The 23,702-nt window shown below is 46.8% G+C and overlaps 1 protein-coding gene across 5 annotated transcripts in view, besides 2 other annotated features; it reads right to left on the bottom strand.

Annotated features, from left to right (window-relative positions):
* AMPD3 (adenosine monophosphate deaminase 3) overlaps nucleotides 1–23,702 on the bottom strand; it is a 57,192-nt gene that overhangs the window by 30,098 nt on the left and 3,392 nt on the right. For 2 of the 5 annotated variants that reach the window (NM_001172431.2, NM_000480.3), the window contains exon 2: nucleotides 15,742–15,967. Coding sequence is in view for 4 of the 5 variants with exons in the window: in NM_000480.3 (NP_000471.1) it covers nucleotides 15,742–15,967 (226 nt within the window). In the remaining variant the exon portion in view is untranslated. Of the gene's footprint in view, nucleotides 1–15,741; nucleotides 15,968–16,057; nucleotides 16,352–21,079; nucleotides 21,427–22,033; nucleotides 22,219–23,702 lie in introns of those variants that run through there. The other 3 variants (NM_001025389.2, NM_001025390.2, NM_001172430.1) reach the window with 3 other exon arrangements.
* Nucleotides 18,365–18,494: an enhancer, noted in NCBI's record as "active region_4436". NCBI's record gives its function as "activates an Ori minimal core promoter by ATAC-STARR-seq in GM12878 lymphoblastoid cells {active_cell/tissue: GM12878}" and the evidence as "EXISTENCE:reporter gene assay evidence [ECO:0000049][PMID:35858748]".
* Nucleotides 21,294–21,343: an enhancer, noted in NCBI's record as "active region_4435". NCBI's record gives its function as "activates an Ori minimal core promoter by ATAC-STARR-seq in GM12878 lymphoblastoid cells {active_cell/tissue: GM12878}" and the evidence as "EXISTENCE:reporter gene assay evidence [ECO:0000049][PMID:35858748]".

Below are 23,702 nucleotides of genomic sequence, written 5' to 3'. Positions count from 1 at the left end.
AAGTCTCTTCTGCAGAAAAATTACCCAGCATTAAGGTGAGGCCATCAGCACTCTTCTCCTACCTCATGTTTCTGTCTGCCCCCAGTGGAACCCGGCCTCCCCACGGTGCCATCCCACAGTGTCAAATGCCAGAAACCAACTGACCACCTGCCCTACCTTGTGCCATGGGCCCAGTAGCTTCCTGAGTATTTATTCTACCACAACCACAGCCACCAGCAAGGACTCAGTGACAACTGTGACCCACTAGAGCCCTCCTCCTCTCCAGGTACTAGTGTGATACCTACAGGCCTGAAGAAATCAGTTGATCCCCAAATAAGTTTCAGGGCTTACCCAGAAGCAGCTCTCTTCCTCTTGGCCTGTGGCCAGGTATCCTCACTGCCGAGTTTTCAAGAACCACAGTTCTCCTCCCGTGTTTACACACCCAGTGCTTGCCATGGCCCTCTGGTTCTCACCTGCCTACCCTGTGTTATCACATCTTTGGGACAAGGCTATTTTAACCTGCAAGACAGAGGTGGCTCCTTTTCAGGAATTTACCTTCCCCTTGCCCCTGGTCCTGCTAAGTGATGCACTGGACTGCTTCGGGAAACTCAACCTGAGCCCTGGGAGCCCCCAGCCTCAGCTTTCTCTGGTCTGTCCTCCATCAAATGGAGCTCAGCCAAGCATCCTGCCCCAGGGATGCCACCTTGTCAGTCACTCCTCAGAGGCGGATTCACCTTGAGGATGAGGTTCTCCCTTTGGCATCTTTTGAATGCCCACACCCAGAGGAAGAGCCATTACTTTGGGCTCCCCAACACATTCTGACCTCAGCTGGGACGCATGAGATTCTGGTTTCTGTGTCACTCACACATGCCTTCCAGCTCACTGTTTTTATTTCCATGCAACCTCACCTCCAAATGCCTCAGCCAAGGCTGCCTGAGGTCTGGTCCTACCAACAAGAAGCAACAGGTGACATCTAAGGTGAGCAACAGCTAAGAAAGTTTAAAAAAAAACCACACACACACACACAAAAAAAAAAACACTACAGCCCAAATGCTGGGAGGCTGCCTAAGCCAACAGCCTACCAGGCTTGTCCTAGGAATGTTCTTCTGCCCCAGTGAGGAAGCTAGTACCCACAAACTGGTGCCCAAAGAATTCTCCTTCCTGGGGATATCCATTATGGCGACAACCTTGGTCTTCAGTTGAGCTCCAGATTGTCACATATGAGCATCTGCGGGCCAGGAGCTCAGACTCTGTAGGCACAAGGGATAGGTTTAACCACAGATAGGCTAACTCCTCAGGGCTCACTCCCCTTGAGCTTGGAAGAACTGGAAGTTAACCACAGCTTGTATCTCAGGAAATTGGAAAAGCTATATGGAGCCCAAGGATGACCCTGGATTTGTTTTCTATTGCTGCAGAACAAATTGCCACAAACTTGATGGCTTAAAACAACAGCTATTTATTAGCTCACAGTTCTATAGGTGAGAAGTCTGGGTGGGCTTGGCTGGGCTCTATGCTCAGGGTATCAAGAGGCCAAAATCAAGATGTTAGCCACACTGTACTCTTGTCTGGAGTTTCTGGGAAGGAATTCACTTCCAAGTTCATTCCGGTTGTTGGCAGAATTCAGGTCTAGTGCCCACAAGGCTGGAGTCCCAGGCTGCTTGCTGGCTTTGACCAGGGGTCACTCTCAACTCCTATTGACCTCACTCCAATCCCTGCACATAGCCCCCTTCATCTCCAAAACCAGGAGTGGTCATTGTGCTGTTGCTTTGAATCTCTCTGCCCTCCCCTCCTACACTCAGAAAGCTCTCTATTTTTACGGGCTCATGGGATTAAATCAGGCCTACCAATAACCCCCCTATCTTAAGGTCAACTGTGCCATATTCCATAACATCATCACAGGAGTGATAACTCATCTTATTCACTGCATCTGGAGATTAAGGAGGGACATCTGCAGGGGCCGTTTTAGAAATTCTACCTCCCCTAGGCCCATATCTAGCATCCATTCTATACAACCGAGGCCCAGCCAGTAAAGGTAGAGGGTTGGAGCTGAGTGAGTGGGCGTGTGGGCGTAAGTGTCAGAGGGTGTGCGACATGGTTTGCATCCATGTCTCTGCCCAAATCTCATGTCAAATGTTAATCCCCGGTGTTGGAGGTAGGGGCTGGTGGGAGGTGATTGGATCATGGGGGTGGATCCTTCATGAATGGTCTAGCACCATCTCCTTGGTGCTGTTCTAGTGAGAGTTTTCATGGAGATCTGGGCATTTAAAAGTGTGTAGCACCTTCCCCTACCCACTCTCGCTGCCTCTTGCTCCTGCTCCCACCATGTAAGACGCCTGCTCCTGCTTTGCCTTCACCATGAGTCAAAGTTCCCTGAGGCTTCCTCAGAAGCAGATGCTGCCATGCTTCCTGTACAGCCTGCAGAACTATGAGCCAATTATACCTCATTATTTTATAAATTACCAGTCTCAGGTATTTCTTTATAGCAGTGCAAACTAATACAGTGAGTGAGTGTGTCTATGAGTGTGTGTATGAACAAAACTGATCTGGTGCCCCTGTTAGAAAGCACTTCCTTCTGATGGGCCAAGGTCTGTCTGTCCACTATCTCACCTGCTGCACCTTGCACTAGCCCCTGGGGCGCCAGCATTTGCTGGGCTACAGCTGGCACACCCCCTCCTTCCCCCACCCACACTTGCACCTGGCAGAAGCACACTCCTGCCAAGGAGCCAGCAGAGTGTGGGGCTGTGAGGACACCAGCTCCAGGCCAAGCCTGAGGGCTCAAAGGGCCAGGAGCAGTTTTGTCATCCCTGAAATAGATTTATCCTCTTGACGCACAAGGACATTCTTGCTAACCAGGCCCACAAGACAAAGAGTTGATCAGGTCACCTGGGCTGTTGTTACAGCATCTTACCTCCCAGCACCTGTCTGGTGCTCCACCTGCTCTATGGCCCTTGGTTGCCCCTGACAGTCACTAAGTCCCCTCCCTTACTCTGCTCCACTCCCCAGCCCTCCTCCGCTCTGGGGAATCAGGCTCCCAGGGCCTTCCCTATATAGCACTCAAATGCTAAAGTGAGGAGCCCTTCAGGCCCACCTTGCTCTCCTAGAGAATAGCCAGCATCTTACCAGGGGCCATCTGAAGCCCACTGCCCTGTGTGGTCTGTCCAGATGACTACTAGGCAGGGAGGGGCACTGGAGCCAACCTTTCACCAGGCTCTCATATGTGTACTATGAGCTGGGGGCCACACGTGGACCCCACTTCATTCAATAAACTACTGTGTGCCAGGCCCTGGGTGTAGAGGAGTAGATAAGATATAACTCCCGCCTCCAGGGGCCGACTGTGATGGCTGAGATGAACCCAGACAGTTCCACAGATTATCATACAGTGTGGTTGGTGTAATGAGATGCCCTGGATATTTTGGGACCCCAGAGGAGACACTTAATCCAGACTAGGGGTGGGAGCAGTGGAGCAATGGGGTCAGAGGGGGGACATTTCAGAACATGGAGGCTGGTTTGAACTCCTCCCCCACGCACACTCAGCTCATTCTGGCAGCCCCTCCACATGAGAATTGTTACGCTAAAATAAAGGTTGGAATCAGAAGTCACAAACCAGCACAGAGTTTTGCAAACACTGGGAATCTGAATGCCATCAGGCGGGACAGGCATCCTCCACTTCCATAGGCTCACACTGCTGCTGCTCACGCTGCCCCTGCATTGGCTCACCTGGAATTGGGACCCCCATCTAAGGAGGGAACTAAGAGGGGCTGACACCTTCCCTGTACTTGAGACCAGAGGTCCCAGCCTATCTGGAGAAATATGCTGCACGATGGGCACTATAACAGGGGTCCCTACAGAGAGAGCAGGGGCGCACAGAGATCACTCACTCCGCATATGCAGCCAGATGACCAGCATCCTGGCCAGGTGGGTGTAACTTTGATTCTAACACTTTGCAGCCAATCAGGTGTGAAAACTCACAGCCCCACCCTCTGTCTCTCCCTGAGCTCCTCTGGAAACCTGCCCCTTCTTTCTCCATCCTCCCTTCCCCACAACCCCTCCTGGCCTACTGTAATCTCCACTCATCTCCTGCCACTCACCTTCGCTTCTCCCTTCCTCAATCCTTCCCAGCTGCCCTTCCTCCCTAAAGACCTGGAGATGAAAATGAAGTGCAATCTGTACTATCTGTTAACTTAAGTGTTACAATCTCTCTCCCTAACTTTATTTTTATTTTTACTTTTTTTTGACACAGGGTCTTGCTCTGCCGCCCAAGCTGGAATGGAGGGGTACGATCTCAGCTCACTGCAACCTCCAGCTCCTGGGTTCAAGCAATTCTCGTGCCTCAGCCTACCAAAAAGCTGGAACCATAGGCGCACACCACCATGCCCAGCTAATTTTTGTATTTTTTGTACAGACAGGGTTTTGCCATGTTGGCCAGGCTGGTCTCAAACTCCTGGCCTCAAGTGATCCACCCACCTCGGCTTCCCAATCTCCCTAACTTTTTCTTTTTCAAGACAGAGTCTCCCTCCCTCAGCCAGGCTGGAGAGCAGTGGGGTGATCTTGGCTTTCTGAAACCTTTGACTCTCAGGTTCAAGCAATTCTCCTGCCTCAGCCTCCGGAGTTGCTGGGATTACAGACATGTGCCACCACACCCAGCTAACCTTTATATTTTTAGTAAAGACAGGGTTTCTACATGTTGGCCAGGCTGGTCTCCAACTCCTGACTTCAGGTGATCCACCCGCCTCAGCCTCCCAAAGTGCTGGGATTACAGGTGTGAGCCACCGCGCCCAGCCCAATCTCTCCCTAACTTTAAAAGGGGATAGATTGACTATTTCAAATGAAGCTCCTTTGTCAATGATCCTGAATGTTTAAAAAGTTCCCCATTCTTATTTTCACAAGTTTCATAAAATGAAGTGACTTAGCAACACTTTAGCTGTGCTATGCTCAATTCATAAAGCACATATGTTTCTCAATTTCACTCAAAACATTCTAGGGAAGCGGCTGTCCTAGATAGCCAAATTTTTCAACTAATAAAATTTTTCCCTCTATATCCTAATTTTTTTCTTTTTTTAATTATACTTTAAGTTCTGGGGTACATGTAAAGAATGTGCAGGTTTGTTACATAGGTATACACATGCCATGGTGGTTTGCTGCACCCATCAACCTGACACCTACATTAGGTATTTCTCCGAATGCTATCCCTCCCCTAGCCCCTCACCCCCCAACAGGCCCCAGTGTGTGATGTTCTCCTCCCTGTGTCCATGTGTTCTCATTGTTCAACTCCTACTTATGAGTGAGAACATGCGATGTTTGGTTTTCTCTTCTTGTGTTAGTTTGCTGAGAATGATGGTTTCTAGCTTCATCCATGTCCCTGCAAAGGACATGAACCCATCTTTTTTATGGCTGCATAGTATTCCATGGTGTATATGTGCCATATTTTCTTTATCCAGTCTATCATTGATGGACATTTGGGTGGGTTCCAAGTCTTTGCTATTGTGGATAGTGCTGCAATAAACATACGTGTGCATGTGTCTTTATAGAATGATTTATAATCCTTTGGGTATATACCCAGTAATGGGATTGCTGGGTCAAATGGTATTTCTAGTTCTAGATTCTTGAGGAATAGCCACACTGTCTTCCACAATGGTTGAACTAATTTACACTCCCACCAACAGTGTAAAAGCATTCCTATTTCTCCACATCCTCTCCAGCATCTGTTGTTTCCTGACTTTTTAATGATCGCCATTCTAACTGGCGTGAGATGGTATCTCATTGTGGTTTTCATTTGCATTTCTCTAATGACCAGTGATGATGAGCATTTTTTCATATGTTTGTTGGCTGCATAAATGTCTTCTTTTGAGAAGTGTCTGTTCATATCCTTTGCCCACTTTTTGATGGGGTTGTTTTCTTGTAAATTTGTTTAAGTTCTTTGTAGATTCTGGACATTAGCCCTTTGTCAGATGGATAGATTGAAAAAATTTTCTCCTGTTCTGAAGGTTGCCTATTCACTCTGATGGTAGTTTCTTTTGCTGTGCAGAAGCTCTTTAGTTTAATTAGATCCCATTTCTCAATTTTGGCTTTTGTTGCCATGGCTTTTGATGTTTTATACATGAAGTCTTTGCCCATGCCTATGTCCTGAATGTCCTAGGTTTTCTTCTAGGGTTTTTATGGTTTAGGTCTTACATTTAAGTCTTTAATCCATCTTGAGTTAATTTTTGTATAAGGTGTAAGGAGTCCAGTTTCAGTTTTTTGCATATGGCTAGCCAGTTTTCCCAACACCATTTATTAAATAGGGAATCCTTTCCCCATTGCTTGTTTGTGCCAGGTTTGTCAAAGATCAGATGATTGTAGATGTGTGGTGTTATTTCTGAGGCCTCTGTTCTGTTCCATTGGTCTATATATCTGTTTTGGTACCAGTACCAGGCTGTTTTGTTTACTGTAGCCTTGTAGTATAGTTTGAAGTCAGGTAGCGTGATGCCTCCAGCTTTGTTCTTCTTGCTTAGAATTGTCTTGGCTATACAGGCTCTTTTTTGGTTCCATATGAAATTTAAAGTAGTTTTTTTCTAATTCTGTGAAGAAAGTCAATGGTAGCTTGATGGGGATAGCACTGAACCTATAAATTACTTTGGGCAGTATGGCCATTTTCATGATATTGATTCTTCCTATCCATGAGCATGGAATGTTTTTCCATTTGTTTTTGTCCTTTCTTATTTCCTTGAGCAGTGGTTTGTAATTCTCCTTGAAGAGGTCCTTCACATCCCTTGTAAGTTGGATTCCTAGCTATTTTATTCTCCTAGTGGCAATTGTGAATGGGAGTTCACTCATGATTTGGCTGTTTGTCTGTTATTAGTATACAGGAATGCTTGTGATTTTTGCACATTGATTTTTTATCCTGAGACTTTGCTGAAGTTGCTTATCAGCTTAAGGAGATTTGGGGCTGAGATGGTGGGGTTTTCTAAATATACAATCATGTCATCCACAAACAGAGACAATTTGACTTCCTCTTTTCCTGTTTGAATAGTCTTTATTTCTTTCTCTTGCCTGATTGCCCCTGCCAGAACTTCCAATACTATGTTGAATAGGAGTGGTGAGAGAGGGCATACTTGTCTTGCGCCAGTTTTCAAAGGGAATGCTTCCAGTTTTTGCCCATTCAGTATGATATTGCCTGTGGGTTTTTCATAAATAGCTCTTTTTATTTTGAGATACGTTCCATCAATACCTAATTTATTGAGAGTTTTTAGCATGAAGGGGTGTTGAATTATATTGAAGGACTTTTCTGCATCTATTCAGATAATCATGTGGTTTTCGTCATTGGTTCTGTTTATGCGATGGATTACGCTGATTGATTTGCATATGTTGAACCAGCCTTGCATCCCAGGTATGAAGCCAACTTGATCGTGGTGGATAAGCTTTTTGATGTGCTGCTGGATTTGGTTTGCCAGTATATTATTGAGGACTTTTTTTTTTTTTTTTTTGAGACGGAGTCTCGCTCTGTCGCCCAGGCTGGAGTGCAGTGGCGGGATCTCGGCTCACTGCAAGCTCCGCCTCCCGGGTTCACGCCATTCTCCTGCCTCAGCCTCCCAAGTAGCTGGGACTACAGGCGCCCGCCACTACGCCCGGCTAATTTTTTGTATTTTTAGTAGAGACGGGGTTTCACCGTTTTTAGCCGGGATGGTCTCGATCTCCTGACCTCGTGATCTGCCCGCCTCGGCCTCCCAAAGTGCTGGGATTACAGGCGTGAGCCACCGCGCCCGGCCGAAGACTTTTACATCGATGTTCATCAGGGATATTGGCCTGAAATTTTCTCTGTTGTGTCTCTGCCATGTTTTGGCATCAGGATGATGCTGGCCTCATAAAATGAGTTTGGAATAGTTTCAGAAGGAATGGTACCAGCTCCAAACTATTGTTGGGAATAGTTTCAGAAGGAATGGTACCAGCTCCTCTTTGTACCTCTGGTAGAATTTGGCTGTGAATCTGTCTGGTTCTGGGCTTTTTTTGGTTGGTAGGCTATTCATTACTGCCTCAATTTCATAACTTGTTATTGGTCTATTCAGGGATTCAACTTCTTCCTGGTTTAGACTTGGGAGAGTGTATGCATCCAGGAATTTATCCAATTCTTCTAGATTTTCTAATTTATTTGCATAGAGGTGTTTATAGTATTCTCCGATGGTAGTCTGTATTTCTGTGGGATCAGTGGTGATACCCCGTTTATTATTTTTTATTGTGTCTATTTGATTCTTCTCTCTTTTTCTCTTTGTTAGTCTTGCTAGCAGTCTATTTATTTCATTGATCTTTTCAAAAAAAAAACAGCTCCTGGATTCATTGAGTTTTTGAAGAGTTTTTCATGTCTCTATCTCCTTCGGTTCTGCTCTGATCTTAGTTATTTCTTGTCTTCTGCTAGCTTTTGAATTTGTTTGCTCTTGCTTCTCTAGCTCTTTTAATTGTGATGTTAGGGTGTTGATTTTAGATCTTTCCTGCTTTCTCTTGTGGACATTTAGTGCTATAAATTTCCCACTACACACTGCTTTAAATGTGTCCCAGAGATTCTGGTACGTTGTGTCTTTGTTCTCACTGGTTTCAAAGAACATCTTTATTTCTGCCTTCATTTCCTTATTTACCCAGTAGTCATTCAGGAGCAGATTTTTCAGTTTCCATGTAGTTGTGTGGTTTTGAGTGAGTTTCTTAATCCTGAGTTCTAATTTGATTGCACTGTGGTCTGAGAGACTGTTTGTTATGATTTCCATTCTTTTGCGTTTGCTGAGGAGTGTTTTACTTCCAATTATGTGGTCAATTTTAAAGTAAGTGTGATGAGGTGCTGAGAAGAATGTATATTCTGTTGATTTGGGTTGGAGCTTGTTCCAGAGCTGAGTTCAAGTCCTGAATATCCTTGTTAATTTTGTCTCGTTGATCTGTCTAATATTCACAATGGGGTGTTAAAGTCTCCCATTATTATTGTGTGGGAGTCTAAGTCTCTTTGTAGGTCTCTAAGACTTGCTTTATGAATCTGGGTGCTCCTGTGTTGGGTGCATATATATTTAGGACAGTTAGCTCTTCTTGTTGCATTGATCCCTTTACCATTATGTAATGCCCTTCCTTGTCTCTTTTGATCTTTGTTGGTTTAAAGTCTGTTTTATCAGAGGTTAAACTTGCAACTTCTGCTTTTTTTTTTTTCTTTCCATTTGCTTGGTAAATATTCCTCCATCCCTTTATTTTGAGCCTATGTCTGTCTTTGCACTTGAGATGAGTCTCCTGAATACAGCACACTGTTGGGTCTTGACTCTTCATCCAATTTGCCAGTCTGTGTGTTTTAATTGGGGCATTTAGCCCGTTTACATTTAAGGCTAATATTGTTACGTGTGAATTTGATCCTGTCATCATGATGCTAGCTGGTTGTTTTGCCCATTAGTTGATGCAGTTTCTTCGAAGTGTTGATAGTCTTTACAATTTGGTATGTTTTTGCAGTGGCTGGTACCGGTTGCTCCCTTCCAGGTTTAGTGCTTCCTTCAGGAGCTCTTGTAAGGCAGGCCTGGTGGTGACAAAATCTCTCAGCATTTGCTTGTCTGTAAAGGATTTTATTTCTCCTTTGCTTATGAAGCTTTGTTTGGCTGCATATGAAATTCTGGGTTGAAAATTCTTTTCTTCAAGAATGTTGAATATTGGCCCCCACTCTCTTCTGGCTTGTAGGGTTTCTGCAGAGAGATCTGCTGTTAGTCTGATGGGCTTCTCTTTGTGGGTAGCCTGACCTTTCTCTCTGGCTGCCCTTAACATTTTTTCCTTCATTTCAACCTTGGGGCATCTGACGATTATGTGTCTTGGGGTTGCTCTTCTCGAGGAATATCTTTGTGGTGTTCTCTGTATTTCCTGAATTTGAATGTTGGCTTGTCTTGCTAGGTTGGGGAAGTTTTCCTGGATAATATCCTGAAGAGTGTTTTCCACTTGTTTCGATTCTCCCCGTCACTTTCAGGTACATCCATCAAACGTAGGTTTGGTCTTTGCACATAGTCCCATATTTCTTGGAGGCTTTGTTCATTCCTTTTCATTTTTTTTCCTCTTATCTTGTCTTCTTATTTTATTTCATTAAGTTGGTCTTCAATCTCTGATATCCTTTCTTCCGTTTGATTGATTCAGCTATTCATACTTGTGAATGCTTCACAATGTTCTCGTGCTGTGTTTTTCTGCTCCATCAGGTCATTTATGTTCTTCTCTAAACTGGTTTTTCTAGTTAGCAATTCATCTATCCTTTTTTCAAGGTTCTTATCTTCCTTGCATTGGGTTAGAACATGTTCCTTTAGCTCAGAGGCGTTTGTTATTACCCACCTTCTGAAGCCTACTTCTGTCAATTGGTCAAACTCATTCTCTGTCCAGTTTTTTTCCCTTGCTGGCAAGGAGTTGTGATCATTTGGAGGAGAAGAGGCATTCTGGTTTTTGGAATTTTCAGCCTTTTTGCACTGGTTTACATCCCCATCTTCGTGGATTTATCTATCTTTGGTCTTTGATGCTGGTGATTTTCGGATGTGGTCTCTGATTAGATGTGCTATTCCTTTCTGTTTGTTAGATTTCCTCCTAACAATCAGACCCCTCTGCTAGAGTTTGCTGGAGGTCCACTCCAGACCCTGTTTGGCTGGGTGTCACTAGTGGAGGCTGCAGAACAGCAAAGACTGCTGCCTGTTCTTTCCTCTGGAAGCTTCATCCCAGAGGGGCACTTGCCTGATGCCAGCCAGAGCTCTCCTGTATGAGATGCCTGTCGGCCCCTACTGGGAGGTGTCTCCCAGTCAGGATACACGGGGGTTAGGGACCCACTTGAGGAGGCAGTCTCACCCTTAGCAGAGCTTGAACGCTGTGCTGGGAGGACTGCTGGTCTCTTCAGAGCTGTCAGGCAGGGACATTTATGTCTGCTGAAGCTGTGCCCACAGCTGCCCCTTCCCCCAGGTGCTCTGTCCCAGGGAGATGGGGGTTTTATCTATAAGTCCCTGATTGGGGCTGCTGCCTTTTTTTCAGAGATGCCCTGCCCAGAGAGAAGAAATCTAGAGAGGCAGTCTGGCCACAGCAGCTTTGCTGAGCTGCGGTGGGTTCCACCTAGTTTGAACTTCCTGGTGGCTTTGTTTACACTGTGAGGGTAAAACCTCCTACTCAAGCCTCAGCAATGGCCAACGACCCTCCCCCTACGAAGCTTGAGTGTCCCAGATTGATCTCAGACTGCTGCTGTGCTGGCAGTGAGAATTTTGAGCCAGTGGATCTTTTTTTTTTTTCTTTGAGACGGAGTTTTGCTCTTGTCACCCAAGCTCAGTGCAATGGTGCGATCTCAGATCACTGCAACCTCCTTCTCCTGGGTTCAAGCGATTCTCCTGCCTCAACCTCCCAAGTAACTGGGATTACAGGTGCCCCCCACCACGCCCGGCTAATCTTTGTATTTTTAGTAGAGATGAGGTTTCACCATGTTGGCCAGGCTGGTCTTGAACTCCTGACGTCAGGTGATCCACTCGCCTTGGCCTCCCTAAGTGCTGGGATTACAGGCATGAGCCACTGCGCCTGGCCACCAGTGGATCTTAGTTTGCTGGGCTCCATGGGGCTGGGACCTGCCAAGCCAGACCACTTGGCTCCCTGGCTTTAGCCCCCTTTCCAGGGGAGTGAATGATTCTGTCTTGCTGGCGCTCCAGGCGCCACTGGGGTACAGAAAAAAAAAAAAAAAAAAAAACTCCTGCAGCTAGTTCAGTGTCTGCCTGAATGGCCGCCCTGTTTTGTGCTTGAAACCCAGGGCCCTGGTGGTGTAGGCACCAGAGGCAGTCTCCTGGTCTGCAGGTTGCAAGGACCATGGGAAAAGCACAGTATCTGGGCCAGAGTGCACAGTTCCTCAGGCTCAGTCCCTCAAGGCTTCCCTTGGGTAAGGAAGATAATTCCCCCATCCCTTGTGCTTCTCAGGTGAGGCAACGCCTCACCTTGCTTTGGCTCACCCTCCTTGGGCTGCACCCGCTGTCCAACTAGCCCCAGTGAGATGAACCAGTACCTCAGTTGGAAATGCAGAAATCACCCCCTTCTGCATCGATCTCACTGGGAGCTGCAGACCGGAGATGTTCCTAATTGGCCATCTTGCCAGCCTTAACTATATCCTAATTTTTTAAAAATCAATTTTTATCTGGCTTCTTAAAAAAATACATAATTCCTGCATTCTTCCTCAAAGCATGCTGAACATAATTTAAAGTTTTCTCAATGACCCAGGATCATCACTGTATTATCCAGTTATGATCTCAGAGGTGTGTTATCCCTAAACTACTGTGCTTCAAATTCTTGTGCCTGCTTTTCATAATTATTTTGTTTCCTCTCTCACTGTTGACTGTCTAATAACAACAATAACAAAACAGGAACATTAATGGTGCTCCAAGCACTGCGCTAAGGATTTTTTGTGTATTCGCTCATTTAATTCTCACAAGGTATGTCCTTTTATTATTCTCATTTTGCAGTTTAGGAAACCAGCTCAGGCAGTCAAGAGCTTTGACCAAGGCCATTCAGTAGTAAGTGACAGGGCTGCCACTTGAACCCAATAGGTCTGACCCCAAAGCCCAGGCTTATAATCACCACACATCACCTCTGTGACCCTGCCTGTAGAAGTCTCTCTCCCTGCTTCTAATTTGCTTCTTTAAATCTGCCACGGGATAAGAAACAATATAGCCAGATTATAGAATTCTGTGTAAAGTAAGAATAAATAGGAGATGGGATGGGAGGTGCCACAGACAAAGAGGGAGCTGGGGAGAGGGTGTCCTCCATGAAAATGTTAACTTTCGAACATTTACATATAAAGGCACCTCTAGTGAGAAGAGAAACTAAAAGACAAAATTGGGTATGGGCAGACCCCAGAGGAGGATGCTGGGGCATCTGACAGTCCAGGGACCAAGCTTTTTTTCAGGAAAGAAGCCGATGGACAGAGCGGGAGCTTTGACCAGTTTCCCTCCATTTCATTTAGAAGCAACAATTACATTCTAGGGAGCAGCACCTAGTGTCATTCCAGGGTCTACAGACCAGGGAACCGAAGACTCCACCCCTACCTGAAGAGGGGATAGCCTTATGGTTGAAGTGTGGGGTCTAGATTCAAAAGATATGGGCTCTAGTTCTTGCTCTGTCATTTACTCACTATGTGTCTTTGTGAAAGTAAATTCAACTTCTCTGAGCCTTCGTTCCCTAATCTGCAAAATCAGAATACTAAGAATATCCATTTGATAAGCTCGATGTGAGAATTAAAGAATGAATCCAACCTACACAGGCTAGTACTTAGCCCATAGTAAGTATTCAATGGCAGGAGCTGCTATTGTTCCCTGTCTCAGCAGCAGGAAGTCAGAGAAATCACTTATATTTACTCGGGATGCACTATAACCAGACACTGTCCGAAGCCTTTTACCTGTGGATTCCCTCATTCCTCACAACACCCCATGAAGGTAGCTGTTAGCATCTCCACTTTATAGATGAGGACGAGGCTGAGGCCCAGAGAGGTTTCCTAATTTCCCCAAAGTCACAGAGCATGACAGTGAGTGGCAGAACACAGAGGTCCAAGAAGTTGCAGCCACCCTGATGTAGTGTCCATGGTGGCAATGGGGAGGCAGGATGTCTTCCTCTGCCAGACATCCACTGCCCACCAACTAAGTTCCACAATGGATCCAGTCCTCAAGGAGCGTCTAGTCAAATGGCGCAGACAGATGCAAACTAAGACACCATAACCTAGGCAAGGACAGAACAAAGTTTTTGGAGAGAAGTTTGCAGGGGAATTTCTGGAAACCACAGAGCACCATTAAGACTTAGAGTAAGAAAGCTTCCATTTTGCCCTGAGTCTGGGCATTGAGAAGAGCACAGTCGCTTCAGCAGATGTCAGGCCCAGTGTCACTCTGTAGTGGAAACTGGTTCCAGAAACTTATTGTTCCTAGTAATAAAAAATGCCAGGATTTCTTTTCCTCTCATTGTTAAGGGTCTCAAATGCTCAATTCATAACACACAGAAGGCCCTGCAGACCATTCACTTGATGAAGTCAGCCCTTCTGTTCCACCCACGGAGTGTGAATGAGGGTCTCTACAGTCATACTCTTCTTGACCCTCCAGGGATGAGCACACTGCTGGGGCTGGGGCCACCCCACCTTATCCAACACAAGGCTGGCACTCAGAGGTTAACCAATGGCACCAGTGACTCCTGCCTTTATGGGCTCACCATCCTTTCAAGGAAGGAAAGCACTGGTCTTATGAGTGGTGAAGCTCTGTTCTTGCCTTTACACCAGTAGTCAACTTTTTACTTCTTTCCAAACGAGTTAAGAAAATGCGAGCTTCTACACAACCAAGAAAGGAAAAGACTTGCCTTTAAAACTGAGGCAGTATCTAGTGTGATCACAGACTAGGTCGGAGAGGGCTCAAAGGTCTACCATGTCAACTATTGATGTTTGCAGGGTACCGGGCAGGCAGAAAATCTGATAAAGCCCAGGGTGAGATAAACTGTGAAAGGATGAGGGCTTCTCATTTCACTTAGACTCCAATCCAAACTTCTTATCAGGGAGCACAAGGCCAGTCTGATCTGGGCCCCACAAGTCCTCCAGCCCTGGTCACAGCACTTCTTCCTTTAACAGACCTCTAACCACATGGGCCTTCTGGAAGAAACTGGGGGGCCTTTGCCCTAGCTGATTCTTCTATCTGGAAGGCCACATAGCTAGCTTCTTTATACCCTGAAGCATCCGCTAAGATGTCATCTCCTTGGAGAGGCCTTCCCTGACTTCCCAGTCTAAAAAAGGATTTTTTCTCTCTCTTTCCCGGCCTTTCTCTCCCCTAACCCCATCTCATCCTTATTCATCTCTTTCATAGCACTTGCGCTGCTCCTGGGCCTGTTTGCCCTCAGATCCATTCCTCATCCTCTCCTGTGTTTCCCAAGTGTGCCAGCAGGATTCTGGCTAGGTTTGGCCCATGGCAGCCACTGGGAGAACCTGGAAGGTGCAGAAAGGGTCAAACGAGGTATTGCCTGCCTCCATCTCTGCCTTGGGAGGCATCTCTGCAGCTGCCACCTCTTCCCCTTGGCTCCAGTTTCCACTGGAAAGTCCACCACAGTTCCACCTTCCCCAGGGCGACTCCACCTTGGCTCCAGAAACACTACTGCTTTCCTTGTCACTCCTGTCCTGGGTAGTAGCTGCTCCTTACTGTGTCTAATCTCTGAGCCGCCTCTCTCTCCCCTGTTTGGTTTCTCAGCTCTCTACCACCTGTGTAACCAATTCCCTGCATTAAAATTCTAATACTTCATTGGTTTCTGATCTTCTAGTTGGACCCTGACTGATACAGCACTTATTATAACTTGTAATTTTTAAGTTAATTTGTCCAGTTACTTAATTATTGTCTAGACCCAGGGACTCTATCTATCTTGTTCATTATAACATCTCCAGTCCCAGCACAGCACCCGGCAAATAGTAAGCTGTGTTCATTAGTAATGCAAAATGCTTGTCAAGTGATGAGAAGAAATACAATTGCTGTCTCCTAAGAAATCCTCAAATTTCCAAAAAGAAAAGAGAAATGCCATTTGGAAATGGTGTGTATTTTTTCACATCAGCAGCAAAGTGGGTTTTGATCTTTTCAGTGCAACAGAGGCACCGAGACATCCCTCAATAAATAAGAGGTGAGTTAAGTGGTCTTGGTTAAGGAACCAACACAGCTCTAGGGACATACCAGTCCCCATGAGGTGCCTCATATCAGGACACACACCCACAGCCTGCCTGGGTCTGCATGACTCTATGTACACGAAAACCATGCCTTGGGAACAAACCTTTTTGCGGTCTCCACAGACTTCTGCTCTGCCAGCTCCTTCTGCAGCTCCCTCTCCTTGGCTTCCTTTTGCCCGATGGGGCAGTCCTCTGGGACAGTGAACAGGGACAGGGCATCTTTGCTGTCCTCTTCTCGGAGCACTTTAGCAAACACCTTCTCCGCCAGGAGCCGGACTTGCTCATCCACTTCAGAGATGTTCAGCTTGGGAAACTGCCGCGGCATCTCAGCTAGCAAAGAAAGAACAAGCATGAATTGCAGGATGCCCTGAGTCACCAGCACCGGGGAAGAGAAGGCACTGAAGTGAGGGCCAGGCCCACCTGGTACTTGGGGTCAGCTGTCTACTTAGGAATGCCCCAGACCAAACCCAGCATGCCAATTTCAAAATTAGCTCAATAAGTAACTGGATGTGAAGCATGTAGGGCCACTTAGGTGTCAGGAGAAAGCAAGTGTTCAAAATTCAAAGAATGAACTGTTCAACTAGGTGGGCTTCCATTTTCCCAAACTCAGGGAATCTGCAGCACCTGGCAGCCCTGCCCTCCTGACTTTGTTCCCATGTTTGAGAAGGGACAAGAGAGAGTTCAGCTCTCCCTCCTCCAGACTATGAGGATACTGTTATAGCTGCAACAATAATCAAACCTCACTCCCCCACTTCACAGAGGCTTTAACAGCTAAGGTCGCACAAGATTACAGCAGAGCCCTGGGAAATCCAAAGCTGCATTCTTCATTACATAAATCAAGGCCTTTTGCTGAAGAGAAAGAATCTGCTATTGCAGTTCCAAACCCTCTGGAACCTCCTAACAAGACACAGCAAATAAAATAAAGGTTTTAGAACACTCTTTACCCAGCTGAAAACTCACTCCCTCAAAGAAGCTTTCTCTATCCACCTCCTCGCATACTGATTCCTTACTAACAGTCACTGGCCTCAACCACCTGCTTGGTTGGTTGGGTTTCATTCTTGCTTGCTTGCTTTCTTCATTTCCTTATTTCTTTCCTTTTTTGCAATTACTTGTATAGCACTTAATATGTACACTCTGGCCAGGCGCATTGGCTCACGCCTGTAATCCTAGCATTTTGGGAGGCTGAGGCGGGCAGATCACCTGAGGTCAGGAGTTTGAGACCATCCTGGCCAACATGGCAAAACCACGTCTCTACTAAAAATACAAAAAAATTAGCCAGGCGTGGTGGCAGGCACCTGTAATCCCAGCTGCTCAGGAGGCTGAGGCAAGAGAATTGCTTAAACCTAGGAGGTGAAGGTTGCAATGAGCCAAGATTGAGCCACTTCACTCCAACCTGGGTAACAGAGTGGGACTCTGCCTCAAAAAAAAAAAAAAAGTATACTCTGGGGCCGGGTGTGGTGGCTCACGCCTGTAATACCAGCACTTTGGGAGGTCAAGGCAAGAGGACTGCTTGAGCCCAGAAGTTTGAGACCAGCCTGGACAACATGGCAAAACCTCATCCCTAAAAAAGATTTAAAGAATTAGCCAGGTATGGTGATGCATGCCTGTAATCCCAGCTGCTAGGGAGGCTGAGGCAGGAGGATCTCTTGAGCCAGGGAGGTTGAGGCTGCAGTGAGTTATGATCGTACTACTGCACTCCAGCCTGGGAGACAGGGTGAGACCTCGTCTCAATTTTAAAAATAAAATATATATATATATATAAAATATATATTATATATAATATATATTATATATAATATATATTTTATATATGTATACATACATATATATACTCTGCAAAGAACTTCATACTTATTAACTCAGTTAATCTTATTATTCCCACTTGACAGATGAGAAAATGAAGGCATAGAGAGCTAACATGCCCAGGGTCACACTTTTAATAAGTCAGCAGAGATTTGTGCTGTTCTCAGCCTTTCTCTCTCATCCCTTTCCTCTCTGATCCTCAGCTCAGGGATCTGAACCCAGGCACCTGGTTCCTGCCTCTGTCCCCTCACCCACCATGCTGTGCTGCTTCTCTTTGTCCACGTATGTGTCCGGGCAGGGGCTCCTCACAGTCCCCAGCATAACACTTGTGGAATGGATTAATACTGCACCCTTTTCGACAAGCCACCCTCGTTGGGAGCAGCTCTGGAAGAGGAGTTTCCCATCTACCTATGACCACAGTTTCTTTAAAGTTGGTTTAAAGAGAGAAGTGGTTTTGTGGACCAGACAGACAAGAATGGAGATGAGACAGAGCCCTGCTGCTGTCCAGCAGGGAGAAGTGCAGCTACAGGGGAGGGGAACACACTAGGCCATCTTGGGACAGTCATTCTCCGGCCTCACAATGTTCTCATCTGTGAGATAAAGGGATTGAACTAAGTGGTCTCTAAGGCCCTCTCAGCTCTAAGTGGCATAATTCTAGGTACCAGAGAGATTTCCGGTGCCTGAGGAGGGCTTGCTGCTCTGAGTCTGAGTGGCATGTGGGACTAAGTCATGACACAGACAGGAAGGAAGAAAGCAGGCTAGCAACAGGCAATCAGAGTGAGGTCTGTGGCTCCCTTAACTCTGAGACCCAAGGACCTGCCACTCCCTGATGAGAGGAGTGGGAGGGAGCTGGTGGGGAACAGCCTGTCAACACACAACTGTCTGGGGAGCAGACATCAAGACAGCGAGGCCTGGCCTCTGCAAAAAGGAAGAGGAACAGAGCTGCCTGTGGGGATTTCCATGTCTTGATAGCAGAGAGGGGGGAAGCTGGAGGCCATCAAAGGAGGTGACAGGGGAGAGAAAGTCTGGAACAGCACAAAGAACCAGACCCAGGAGGCTCCATCAGGCTGAAACGAAACTGGATCCTCACCTCCCCCCTTATTCCAAGGCCACCAATCAAGGGCACCATCCCAAAACCTCACATCGCATCTCAGAAGAAGATATGCAACCCAACAGCCCAGGCAAAAGGCCGCAAATGCCATAAAGCACCATACCATTTGACTAAGCAACTTTACTTCTACAAATTTCTTTCAAAAAAAGAATCCTAAGAATGAAAAGCACAAGGATATTTACCTGCATTATTTACATAAATAGCTTTAAAATGCCTAAATTAGAGCATACTCACTTGAAAAAGATGTTAAGTAATCAGAATTATGATTATGAGGATGGTGCAATCACATAAAAAAATAAAAATACAGTAAATGAAAAAATTAATACATAGAACCATACCCATGCTTTATTTACAGTGAAAGGAAAATGCATCCCTTTATGGGCAAGACCTGCAAGAGATTCACGCAGTCAAAATGACCAGGTGGCAGGGCTGCCTGTGTGTGAGAGGATATTTTATTTTGATGATGAATGCTATTATAATGCCATTTTTAACAAATACAAAGAGAATAGAAAGAAAATGAGTAGACTTAAGACTCTATGAAAAGAGAGAAAAATAGGAAAACAAACTTCTTTTTCTGGCAGGTTTTGGCAATTAGGGCTCCCTCCTTAATTGCCGAAGGGAGGGAGGGAGGGAGCATCACCATACCTGGCTAATTTTTTTTTTTTTTTTTTTTTTTAGAGATGAGGTTTTGCCATGTTGTCCAGGCAATTTGGGAGGCTGAGGAGGAAGGATCACTTGAGGCTAAGAGTTCAAGATCAGCCTAACCCACACTATTGAGAGGCCAGGCCAAAGGGAGTTTCACCATTCAGACCTATCTCTGTGTTAGCTCCTACCCTGGACAGAAGCCATCCACCACCAGCAGCACCTTCCTACCTCCTTCATGCCCTCAGACACACACAGGCCTGACCCAGACACCCCCAACCAGGCTCCCTTGGCAATGGGTATTTGGGTGGGAGGGAAGTCCTTGATGTCTGAGGGCTCTTATGCCAGATCCTGCCATGTTTGCTCATGAAGCATGCATTTATTCATTGATTGATTGAGAGACAGGGTCTCAGTTGCCCAGGCTGGAGTGCAGTGGCACAATCACAGCTTACTGCAGCCTCGACCTCACAGGCTCCGGTGATTCTCCCACCTCAGCCTCCCGAGTAGCTGGGACCACAGGCACACACCACTATGCCTGGCTAATTTTTGTATTTTTAGTAGAGATGGGGTTTCACCATGTTGGCCAGGCTGGTCTTGAACTCCTGGTCTCAAGTGATCCGCCTGCCTTGGCCTCCCAGGGTCTAGGATTATAGGTGTGAGCCATCATACCAGCGCACAAAGCATTTTTAGCTTGCTCTAATCAACTAAAAATACTTTTCAGGACACAGCTTTCTATAACATATCTTCCTTTCTCTTTAGCTTAAATCAACCTTTCCCAAACTGGATGCCATAAGAAATTGATACCTGTTGCTGGTAAAACAGGTCCTGTGGTCAGTTATTGGGAGATGTTGCATTCCACAGCCCCTCAACTCACATTCATAAGGCTCATTAAAATCAAGGATCATAGAGTAACATTAACATACAGAACCCTTTTTGTTTTACAGAACCCATAAAAATCTTCCGCAGAACTACTACCAGTGTCTTAAATAGTTGGTAGATAATTCATTCCAAGACCGGGTGCAGTGGCTCATGCCTATAATCCAAGCAATTTGGGAGGCTGAAGAGGATCGCTTGAGGCCAGGAGTTCGAGATCAGCCTGGTGCAATATGTCAGAACCTCATCTCTACAAAAAATAGAAAAAAAAACAGCCAGGTGTGGTGGCATGCACCTGTGGTCTCAGCTATTTGGAAGGCTGAGTTGGGAGAATTGCTCGAGTCCTGGAGGTGCAGGCTGCAGTGAGCCATGATGGCACCACCGTACTCCAGCCTGGGTGACAGAGCAAGACCTTCTCTCAAAAAAAAAAAAAAAAAAGCAAGAAACAACAGCAACCACAACAAAATAATTAATTCCATATCTTAGTATGGACCAAGTAACCCACTTGGGGTGCTGCAGGCCTTAGCAGCTGCCCCCACATCTGCTGCCTTCTGGATGTCCTTGGCAGACAGCTCCCACCTGCCAACCCGTCCCTCCAGAGTGTCTCTCCTCTCAGACCCTCCAGACACCTGCCAGGCCAGGCCTGACAAGGAAAGCTCACTCTGCAGATGCCAAGCAGAGCTTCAGCTCCAGCTGCATGTTCACGCCTGGCTTCCAACCCTTTGTCAGCTGAAGCCAGCAGGCTTGGGAGGCTTAGCTGTGAATTCACCAGCATCAGTCAGCCAATGATACAGCTTATCTCACTGTTACATGCAACACGCTCTGATGAACTTGAAGAAGTGTCCCAAAGTTAGAAAGTTCTAAAACACTGCCAGTTTCAACAAACAGTAACTTTTCATGGTGCCACAGTCCCTCCAGAAAGGAAGCCCAGTGCCACTGAAATCCCCTCGTTATACGAAGGAAGCTGGTTCCTACTCTTGCCAGACTCCCCTTGCAGAAGCCCCGACACAGACCTGAGCCTGGCTCCATGACTGGTCCTGAAGATGCCACTCAAGTGATGCACCCGGGTGAGGTGCTGCCTGCCACCCAGGAGGCTCAGCTGAGTCAGTGCGTGCGTGCAGCTGGCTGGGTCCTGTCTGCCGGCTGGAGTAGGAGGTCTCTGTTTTGCATATCTGTGAGCAGCAGTGAGCCAGAGCAGGAAAAGCCTGGGCTGGAAATTCTCTCGTGAATATGAAATATGAGTGGAAAATTTCCAAGAGCCCTGAAGTCCCCAGGTAATCCCAGTTATCCAAAACAAAATGGCTGTGGTATCCTGAATGCAGTGTCCTGGCCCTCTTCACAGCCCTCACAAGAGGAAACTAAAGCGGCGGCTTCCTCTTTACAACAGTAAACTCAGCCGTCCTGCCCAGCTGCAGGAGATAAGCCACAGCCTCCCTCTAACGCCCAGCCTCCTCCTGAAAGCTGAGTAGCAACGAGCGATATCATCACCTTTGCTGCTTCCGTTCTGAACGTGCTTCAGGCCTGGCTGCATTTTATCAAGGGGATTGGTCTCAGGTACAGCCCGACCTGCCTCTTCTCAGAAAGCCCCCCTAAAGCAGCCCTCCCAAGGGCACCCCATAACTGCCAGGGGGAGCTTCAATCCCAGTTGCTAATACAATCCCCTCCATCCCCTCCTCCTCTGAAAGGGAAAGACCATGAACTGCTTCCACCTTTCCCAGGAAAGGACAGAGACTCAGGGAGCAGGAACTGCCTCAGCACAGAGGCGGACAGAGGACAGGGGCAGGCTAGGATGAAAAGCTGACAGCCCCATCCCACTCCTTCCTTTCTTCCCAGAAGGAAGCCCACATCACAGGTGACTGCGAAGCCTGATAAGCTTTACCAGAACCCCCACCCCCATCCACACACACAGAAAAGGAGTACACCCCAACTGACCCACCGGAGCCCACCCCAAACCCTCCCCTGCTTACAGCCGCTCACTGCTCCCACGTGGGCCTCCAGCTCCGAGCGCTGGCTGGACTCTGCCACTCCTCCTGGGGAAGGTGGAGCCTGCCTCAAGTGACCCACAGGAGCAATCCTCTAAAACCAAGCAGGGTTGATTAAAATGGCATCACAGGGTGCAAAGCTCTGATCTTCATCTGCCCTTTAGGAGAGTGGGAAGGCTCAGAACAGACACATAGCCTCCCAGTGACTTAGGCAAATCCTGTGGTCCTGGGAAATAACCATGAGCAAAATGGCTATTTCTGTGGTGCTGTTGAAATCCTGGGGAGAAGAGCTCAGGAAGGATGGGTCAGTTGTTTACCGGGAGGCTAGCTGTAACCCTGACTTGGGCCTGAGTCACCTCCGCATGTCCAATCGTGAGGTTGTGTCTTACTGAGCTCACATCATAATTCCTGTGTGCACAGAGCAGTATTACAGGGTTGACACATGATCCTCGGGCTGCTGCTGGGCTTTAGCTACCCAGAGATTACGGCCCACCTGTCCTCACAGCTGTTTCATAAACAGTGCAACCAGCAGGCTACAAGCAACCTAGAGGGAGGGTAATATTTATTCATTAAACAATTAAATGAACTTACAGTATGAGAAAAAAATCCAAGCCCTTAGTACTATTCTGCCAGAAGGAGGAGGGGCAGATGACTTTTTCTGCTAGTGTTTTGGGGAAAGGGGAGGTAGAGTGGGGACTGCAGTGGGAGGATTCCAGCCCAAGGATTTAAGTCCGACACGTTCAGGGAATTTTATTCTGCACCTTTAACCGGATCCCAGCTAGCCTTAGTCTAAACAAGCATTTTTCAAAGTGCAGTCTGCAGAACATGAAAGGTCAGAAGGCTTGGAAAACACTGCATCCTGTAGTCCCTTATGGGTATTCATGCACAGTTTCTACTAGCAAATTCAACACCTGAGAAGTCCTGCAGTAAAGAAAGCTGCTTAACTTTGTTTAACCCGACGCACTTATTTGACCATCCTAGAACTGCTGTCATAGGAAAAAAACACCTATTAATATCTTGTGGTATCGGCTTTGGGAAACACCCTCCACCTTGAGTCTTCATTTTCCAACTTAGAGAAAGCTGCCTTCCTGGAGCCCAGTTTACAGGTATGAGACCCATTGCATCGGGTTCAGACAGAAACCAGCAGCAGCTCCACTAAGATGACACAGGTTGTAACAATGACCAAGGGTCCTGCTGAAGCCAAAAGGCGGGAAGACTCCCCAGAACATGGGCAGTTTAGAAGAAAAATACAGTTCTGTCCCAGAAGAGCAAGCTCTTCTCAGGACCTCACAATTCCACCTTGAGCCTAACTTGTTGCTGCTTCTTGCAGCCAAGATGTCTCTGTGGACTGAAGAGCACTGATCCCAAGCTCAAAGCCTTATTTCCCTTTCGAACAAACATCAAGACAATTTATGATAACCAGATACAGGGCCCGCTTCTCCTGCCCGAGACTAGACTGCATCCCCTTTTATCACTTAAGCACCCCTTACAAACTCTAAAAGACAGGAGAGGACGGAATCAAATTATGTCTCATCAAGAAAGATATCGGCCGGGCATGGTGGCTCATGCCTGTAATCCCAGCACTTTGGGAGCCCGAGGCAGGTGGATCACAAGGTCAGGAGATTGAGACCATCCTAGCCAACGTGGTGAAACC

This window comes from Homo sapiens, chromosome 11, assembly GCF_000001405.40.
Source record: "Homo sapiens chromosome 11, GRCh38.p14 Primary Assembly".
NCBI lineage: Eukaryota > Metazoa > Chordata > Mammalia > Primates > Hominidae > Homo > Homo sapiens.
This window is presented reverse-complemented; position numbering and strand designations above follow the sequence as displayed.